The sequence below is a fragment of the Homo sapiens genome, chromosome 9 (assembly GCF_000001405.40).
Source record: "Homo sapiens chromosome 9, GRCh38.p14 Primary Assembly".
In the NCBI taxonomy this organism is placed as follows: domain Eukaryota; kingdom Metazoa; phylum Chordata; class Mammalia; order Primates; family Hominidae; genus Homo; species Homo sapiens.
This window is the reverse complement of record NC_000009.12, coordinates 99,287,897-99,296,988: the sequence shown is the minus strand read 5'-3', so window position 1 is coordinate 99,296,988 and position 9,092 is coordinate 99,287,897. Positions and strand designations below refer to the sequence as shown.

The 9,092-nt window shown below is 45.6% G+C and overlaps 2 annotated features.

Moving 5' to 3' along the window:
- Window positions 30-79: an enhancer, noted in NCBI's record as "active region_28707". NCBI's record gives its function as "activates an Ori minimal core promoter by ATAC-STARR-seq in GM12878 lymphoblastoid cells {active_cell/tissue: GM12878}" and the evidence as "EXISTENCE:reporter gene assay evidence [ECO:0000049][PMID:35858748]".
- Window positions 290-489: a silencer, noted in NCBI's record as "silent region_20127". NCBI's record gives its function as "represses an Ori minimal core promoter by ATAC-STARR-seq in GM12878 lymphoblastoid cells {active_cell/tissue: GM12878}" and the evidence as "EXISTENCE:reporter gene assay evidence [ECO:0000049][PMID:35858748]".

Genomic DNA, 9,092 nt, shown 5'->3' with positions numbered 1-9,092 from the left:
GATGTTCATTATTTTAAGAGCAGACAATCGAGCACAGCAGTCCAAAACCACTTTCCTCGCCCCCGGAAGGAGATGAGAGTGAACGAGCTGGAGCATTGACGCGCGCCTGGGGCGCCACGTGGTGACATGGGTTTCTCCTGTTTATCCCTCGAGGCTTCCTTTCAGCGTCTTCTTCCCCAGCAGCTGCTCTGTCAACAGTCCATATGCTGCCTCGGCTACGGAGCAGCTTTCAAGAGGGGGCTGCCAACCCCGTAGGAGAACTTTGAAGACAAGTTCAGGGGCACGCGTGCTGGGGCGGCAGTCACCCCGCCCCCGCGAGCCTTGGGCCCTCCCCTCCCGCCCGGCCTCCCCGCACCCCTTCTGGTGGCGGAAGTGGAAGGGGGCGGGGGGCGCAGGCAGCCGGGCCTGGTTCCGGGGAGGGTGTGCGCGTGGCAAGGAGGCCAGCTGGAGGAACAGGAGGGGACAGATGCCATGGGGGCCCGGATTTGTTCCTGCAGGAAGAGTGCAAGGAGCTAATTGTCTAATTACCCAGGAGCGGTTTCTCCGTGGCCCTGCCACGCCGTGTGGAAAGAACTCCAGTTTGTGCATGTCAAACAGTCGGTGGGCGGCTCTGGGGAGGAAAGGGAAGGCGGTCCTGAGCCTGGATTTCTTCCAGGCTTGTACTGCAGAGTCACTTCTAGCTCTGGACCCCGAAGCCTTACAAATACTGCTTTGAAAAATTGAATCATAGGCTCTACATCCCTTCAGCTTAGCTGGCTGTTGGAGAAAATTATATCCGCTGCTTTTCTCTTCCCCCACATCACCCTCAACATAAACACACACACACACACACACACACACACACACACACACACACGCACACACCCCTTATACCCTGCCATTGGTCATTTACACTGAGCAGTCATCTAGTTTCCAATCCATTCTTTAAAATATGAAAGTCCTTGGGTCCTGGCTTGTTTCTTTCCTACGCGGGCTCCCAGCATTTTCGTACTGTCAGGACTTTGCTATGCTGGGCACGCCATCTATGTGCCCTTTTTATGCAGCCCTTTGTAACCAGTGCCTTCTGCATCATCCTTCAGGAGCCAGTTTTGCACCCTGTAGTCCCAGCTATTTAGGAGGCTGAAGAGGGAGGATCACTCGAGCCCAGGAGTTTAAGGCCGCAGTAAGCTGTGATTGTGCCTCTGCACTCCAGCCTGGGCTACAGAGCGAGGCCCCATCTCTAAATTAAAAGAAAAAAATCCACCTTTCCTTAGGCTTTCATTATATATAATGTGATATGTACATACATATTATATTTCCTGTCTGTCTTTAATTTCAGACTATTTCGTATGAAAAGAAACGTAACTGGCCTCTGTGCAGCACCTTCCTTTGTTCAAGAGACTTCCACTCACATTCTTCCATCTCTACCTCCTAAGTGACAACCTTGTGAAGTGGGCAGTGTCCACTTCACAGTGCAATGTGGGTGGTAGATAGAGTATTTACAGATCACTCCAACATGCTGTGTACGTCGGGGTAGCCCTTGAAACACGGGAGTCTAGACCTTATTTAGCACTTGCAGACACATTTCTCAAGTCCTGGCAGTTGACCACTGCTGGGATCACCCTTTCCAGGCTCCTACCACCCCTTCAGAGAATTCTGGCCTCATAATCTCACACCCAAGACACGTGAGTGTAACAGTAGGAACTGCATTGGTCGTATGTAAAAAAGATGCAGTTACCATGTGTTTAACCACATCTGTAGGTGCTTATTTTTTCTCACATAACAATTCTAGATTGCCACCTCATAGTTGCAAGATAACCGCTCACTTCTAGCTGCATACTCATATTCTCTAAGGAAAGGCGGAAAAAGGAAGCAACAAGATGGAAGAGGCAGCCACCCTATCAGGAAAGCAACGTCACCAAAATAACCAGCAGGTTTCCAGTTATATCTCTTTGACCAGAACGTGTCATATGGCTACCCTCAGCTGCAAGGGAATCTGGGAAATGTAGTTCTTTAGTTGGGCATCTTGTCAACCCAAACAATATCAGTGTTCTATAAATAAGAAGAAAAGGGAGAAGGATACAAATGTGTGGTGATCTTAAGGTGTGCCGTTCTCACAAGAGAATAGGCTCTAGGAGGTCAAGGAACATATCTGTTTATGCTCACCATTTGTGTCCCAGAGCCAAGCCCAGAGCCTGGCACACAGTGGGTGCTCCATAATATGTTTGAAATGGGGGAATGAGCCTGAGCAACATGGGGAAACCCATCTCTACTAAAAATACAAAAATTAGCCAGGCGTGGTGGTGCATGCCCGTAGTCTTAGCTACTCAGGAGGCTGTGGCAGGAGGATCACTTAAGCCCTGGAGGTCAAAGCTGCAGTAAGCTGTGATTAAGCCCCTGCACTCCAGCCTTGGTGACAAAGCAAGGCCCTGTCTCAAAAAGAAAATAAAAATAATAAATGGGGGAATGAATGAATCAATGAAATGACTACTAAAGTCATCATTAGTAAGGTATTTTAAGCTCTAAATGGGCTTAAATCTCAGGCCCCTAAAACCCTTCCACATATCTGGTATTTGTCAAAGTTCAAAGCCTTCCGACACTCCAGCTTCTTCCAGTGTCCTCTGTGTACTCTGTGTGTCGCTTGGATAACCCCTAACACCCATTATCAGGTCACAATAAATCAAATCTGCAGCATTTCATTCTGGGTTACCTGTAATATAGCCCTCATATTCATAAATTAATAGCCAATTATGGAGCATGAGATAAATAATCCCCAGCATCAATACATATCATCCATAATTACAAAGACAGGATCAGGTGTATCCATGCATAACACTTGGCTGGAATTCCCATTTTTAATGCAGTTATTTATTGCCACATACATATCATTTTGAGGAAAGGGTAGTTTTGTACCGTTTAATAGAAAAGACACCTACATAGATAAGAAATCCCTCTTCATAAAATGCTGTAAATTTGATAAATGAATAAAAGCATAAAATTTAGCCAGAAGTTTTCCCTTTGATGAATGGGTTTTAAAATACTTACAGTGTGTTTTTAAATGACAGAAAAGAATAGGACACCCAAATCAGATCTAGAAACCCTCAAAAAGAGATTACATTTTAGGTGAACTGTTTATAGAAAAAGCTGGCTTTCATTAACTTAAACCTCCAGGAACTGGTTCTGTGGGCTCTGGGAGGAAAGATGGTCCCGGGCAATTCCAGAAGAGGTCAGAGCATTTTGATGATCTCTTCTTTCCATAATGGACAGCAGTGTCTTAGCGTCAGAGCTAGGGGGTACAGGTTCAGAGCTGGAGGTTTTCTGTGTTCTTAATGGTGCCCAGCAACGGTGTTGACTAACCCATTAACTTAACCCACCAACCGTACTTCATTACAATACATTCAGAATTTCACTGAAAGACATATGGATTCTTCAGGAGATTCTTACTCCTTGAACCTCAATTTCTTCATCTGTACAAAAAGAATAAAAGTAGACGTTCTGTGTGCCTTTTCAGTATGGTTGTGAGGATCACATAAAGAGAACGTGAAGCAAACTATCATACCCATCATCTCACATCGTTACCCATTTGTGTGTGTGTGTGTGTGTGTGTGTGTGTGTGTGTGTGGCAAGAGCAGTGAAAATCTACTCATTTAGCAAGAATCCCATAAGTGAAAACATGGTGTAGATGGTAACACGCTATACCAGTGAGAGAGGTTTTTAGGATGGATAATGATTTTCACAGGAAGTATCTTAGTGGGATTGTTTGGGTTGGGGATCATACATTCCCAGCACTAAACATGGCATATCTGTTGGATATCAATGGGATGCAGGGTTGTACTCACTCACACTCGAATAAGGAAGGACCATTGTCACACTAACAGGGGCCGTGTGATGCCCAGGAGTCTAGATGTCTGAGCTCTCCTTCTGCACCTGCCACTCTCTTCTCCTGTATGTTTGAGCTACTTATTTCCGTGCTGTGAATCTCAGTCTTCTCATCTGAAAAAAATGGAGGTGTCGAACTAACAAATCTCTGGGGAGCTGTTCTGGCTCTAACCTAGTAATTCTGATACTACAGAATCCAGGATCCCAGTGTGTGGTGGGATCGGGGACCTGTTCAGATGGACATCCACCCTGAGGCCATCTGAGACCCTTTCTGGCTGCCCCTGCCCTGCTCATCAATGTCTCTCAGAAGATCTTCTCTAGCCTCTTGGGGGTCCTCCCTGAACAGCTCAGGAACCTCGACAGCCTCTGAGACCAGCCAAGTTAAAGGTCTTAGGACAGGGCTGAAACACCACCTCTGTCTCAAGCTTGGTGCTGTCTACCAAGAGCCTGACTGGGGGACATCAAGGCAACCTTCCCTGACTTCATCAAACAGTTCCAAAAGCCTGCAAACAGGTGCTGGCTTTTTAAGAGAAGTAATTTCTGTGGCTCTCCACTCTAGCCACATTAGTCATTCAAGTGCTGAGGGACAATATAAATTCCTGTCATCCTACTTTATGTGACCACTAAGATTTATTCCAAGCGACAGGTCATTAACGTCTCTTCTCTTTATTTTTTTTTCTCAGATTCACTGAAAATTCATATTTCTGCTTTATTACAGACTGCTAACAGCTATGTTTTTGGTCAGAAAGTCAGCAATAAATCTGAATTTAATAAACTGACAAAAGACCACTATCCCAGAGATGGTCTGAGCCCACATTCCTCCTTTCCTTCCATACAAATGCTTTCGTATTGAGATATCTTCCACATAAAAGCTACGTTCACCATCTTAATAGTCACCTTCCCCCCACCCCCTTAGATGTTTTGCAGTTTCAAGGCTGACTATATAATTATGGATTGTCAGAACCTGAAGGCCCCACAACAATCGCAGTGGGTGGGGAAAGACCTGAACTCCAGGCTCAGCCATTCCCCTGCCACGCGACCTTGGACACGAGCTAAGCCTCAGTTTCTTTATCCATAGAATGGAAATCATAGTCCTCGTCCCATCTGCCTCTCAGGGGACCATGAGGATTAGATTCAAATGAGAGCAGGATGGAAATCATGAAGCTCTATGCAATTGGGGGTCAGGGATTGTGACTGCTTTTTAGTTGTAAATGTTCAGCATGTTAGAGCCAGTACGCATGTTAGAGATTCTTCACTTTACAAAAGAACACTGAGGTAGCAGCAAGTGGACCTCTCCCCTCAGGGAACCAGATTCTCCTTTCGGGTATTTTTTCTATTACACAATAGTCTCCCCCAAATCTCACCTATTTGCTCTTGGAAAAGGGTTTAGAGGAGGGGTTCTCTGAAGTTTCCTGGAAGGCCTCGCTCTACTACAGATTGCATGGATAAGGAGGCTCTAAGAACTTTCTGGCTGGGACCAGAGTCATTATCATGTCTTTGTTTACCTCCAATCAGTTGCGAGCACCTTGAGGGAAATTCTTGCATAAAGTAGGCATTAGGGAATGACTATTTGAATGAATTCCAAATTAATCCAAGGGGACTAATGTTCTGGCTAAACTCCAGATAGCATTCTGGGTTATTGGGAGGCACCTATCCTAAGATCTGAGCATCCCTTCCAGAAGGCAGCAAGACTGTCTCTTAGAAAATGGAAAGCCTAACCCCTTCCTTCCAGGGACTTTCAGATGCACTCTAAGAACTACAACTACTCCACTCCCCAAAACTGTGGCCCAGAATGAGGACTTTTAGGAGATTAGCATGCAGACAAATACATCAAGCCTTCTATAAACTTCTACCTTCAAACTCTCTATAAACTTCTGTCTGGCTTTGTAAATAACCATATAAGAATTTTCCCAATAAACACTGGAAGCAGAAATGAATAGACATTTCCGAGGACCTGTTTCTGACTAGTTGAGCAAAGCTTATAAAAGTTATACTGTGTGCTCTGTCAGCTTTTTCACTATTTCATAACGTCATCCATAAACCCAGAATAATTCTTATTTACCAACTCTCTCACTGCATGATTTTGCAGTCTCCAGCCAAAACTTGATGCAAATGGTGAAAAAATTAATCCTATTGAGTAAAATTAGAAAGCTCTAAAATTAGGGTGGTTTAAAAAAAAAGAGAATGGGCTGCCCTGAGTAATAGCAAGTCTCCCATAACGGGAAGTATGTAAGCAGAGACTAGAAGACTATCTGCAAAATGGTCTAAAAGAGGAATTCCTAAAATTGGTGGGAAATTGGTTTAGACAACCTCCAAGTCTTTGCAAATCAGACGTTCTGGGAATTGAAGATGTTGGTTCCCCCCAAACTTTTCTGCAGGCCTAGTATCTGCCAGGCTGTGTGCTGGGAAAGGATGAAGTAGACCCAGCTCCTAGTGATGCTAAGTGAAACCCCAGTGTGATGGTTAATACTGAGTGTCAACTTGATTGGCTTGAAGGATGCAAAGTATTAATCTTGGGTATGTCTGTAAGGGTATTGCCGAAAGAGATTAACATCTGAGTCAGTGGGCTGGGAAAGGCAGACCCACCGTTAATCTGGGTGGGCACCATATAATCAGCTGCCAGCACAGCTAGAATATAAAGCAGGTAGAAAAACATGAAAAAGCTAGACTGGCCTAGCCTGCCAGCCTACATCTTCTCCCGTGCTGGATGCTTCCTGCCCTCAAACATCAGACTCCAAGTTCTACAGTTTTGGGACTTGGATTGGATGTCTCCTTGCTCCTCAACTTGCACACGGCCTGTTTTGGGACCTTGTGATCACTTGAGTTAATACTTAATAAACTCCCCTTCATATATGTATTTATTTATATATTTATATATATATGGGAGTTTAAGTATTAATAGGATTTTATATATATATCCTATTAGTTCTGTCCCTCTAGAGAACCCTGACTAATACAGCCAGTTTAGTGAGAAGACAGACAAGCCAGCAGCTAACTCCAGTGCAAGGCAGAATGGTGTACATGTTGGAAAGAGGTGACCAACAGCCAGCTATGAGTTTGAGGGATAGTTGTGATGAAGAACCACCCAGAACTGGAGGAAGTCCCCATAGCCTGCTTCCTTGAGTTAGAGGGCTCTGGTTATGGGGAAATGGTCTATATATAATAATACTTTTTATTGAGCATTTATTAGGTGCCAGACACTTAGCCCACTTGTCAGTTAATAGGCATAACAGTCCAAGGTAGGTACTACTGTTTTCCCCTATTTTACATATGAAGAAATCAAGGATAGAGAGGGCAAGTAATGTGCCCAAGGTCACATGCCCTAATACGAGGTCAGCCCTAATGTGAAGCTAGGCAGTCTACTTCCAGCCATTGCTCCTAATGAGGCTGCTATTCTCAATGCCTCTAGAAGAACAATGAAAGGTTTGGACCAGGCTGTCTATAATGCCTGGCCTCCCGAAACACCAGGAATGTCCAGTACTACCCCTCCAGGATGGGGCTGAGAGGAAAGCAGGAGTTCCTGGACCAGGTGAATGCAGCATCCATATTAACTTCATGCTCCCAAGTATGGATTCCTGAGCCTTGAACTCCACGGTATCTCTGAGAAGCCTTCTCACACACAGCTTCACCTTCCTAAAGCTCCCCATGAATCCAGAACAGAAGAGGAAAGCCTCGTTCTAAGATGCCCACATCCACATAGATTTTTCCGTAAACTCCCTCGACTTTCAGCTGGAATTAGATCTGGTTTCTGAAATCCAGACCATGAAGGGGTGGGGCGAAGTTCTGGGAGGGCCAAGCTGGGAGTGCCTGGTACACACAGGGAAACTGCTTCCATTGACCTGGACAGGCGCTGGGACAAAGTAAGAAGACAGGTGAACTACAAAGCCATCAGGTAGCCCTCAGTCCAAAGTCAATGATGAGACTGCAGCCTCACGACGTGTGGGGGCTTTACAGTGTCAATTTAGTGAAGCTGGAGTTGTGTTTCTTAGAATTCCCTTTTCTGGTTCGTGCCAGGTCAGCTTTGGCCACAAGTACACTTTGCAAGAGATTCAGAACAAGGAAAGGCAGCAGCAGCCACATTCTTGTTATGTTCAGAGGCCAGGGCAGGGCACAAGCCCTCACAGACATTGTCACATATCTTCTGGGTGGTGTGGGCCAGCATTGGGAACTGCGGCCCCCCCGAAGCCCACCAGCTCCTGCAGACGCTCTTGTTTCAGCTCCCCTGATCCCTGGGCCAGTTCAGCATTTTGTTTTTGTTCCATAAGAAAATGCATAACTTCTGTAAATCATCCCCCTCATCAAAGTTGGAGTCTTGGGTGAAGTGAGATACCAGTGTGGATTCCACCCCATTCCCTGAGTTCCAGCCGATCCATTTTAACCTCAGTTCTCCACTTCCTGTCCATCATTTCTTCCCCACTTCTGTATCTGATGCTGACTTCAGGCCCCAGCACCAGACACAGAAATAATGGCCTTGCATAGACCAGTCCCCGCAATTATATAAGGTGAAATGTCTATAGCCAACCCCTTACTGTGTCTGTCTCACCAAGTGGCTCTGCTTCTCTGACTGAACCCCAAGTGATATGAAGAGGAAAACGAGGCCAAGCCTGGCAGAATGGAGGGAGGGATAGGCTCAATTCCAATTCACAGCAGAGGTAGGTTTGTCTGGTGCAGGACCTGATGAAGCTCTTGAGCTTCTGAATGTGGGCTAATTAGCTGTCTTGTGAAACTATTGATCTCAGAACCTGAAGAAGACCCAACCAGTCAAGGAGCAAATGGCTTCAGTTAATGGAAGGCTGGAATTAGCTGGGGTCACATCAGAACTTTTGTATGACTTAGATACAGCACTATAGCTGCTATAGACACCACACACACACACACACACACACACACACACACACACACACACACACACACACACAGACATAGCATCTATAGTCTTCCGTAGTCAAGCAGTACTTTTGGTGGCTTTCTTTTACTCCTTTCTCCCTCCTTCCCTTTTCCTTTGAGGTGATGCTTTAAGTTTCAATGACTTTCTTAAATCCTAAAAAAATCATATCTGTCCAAGTAGAGGATAGCTTGTACACCTGGAGGAGGCCACTCATGTGTGGTCCTGGGAGGGCCAGCCAGACTCTTCTGGCCTCAGAGAACCTGCAGGAGAACAAGAGGAAGGTAACTACTTTTAGTCCCTGATGTGACAAGAAGCTGCTCCTTGGACCTGTGGGCAGAAGCTTGCT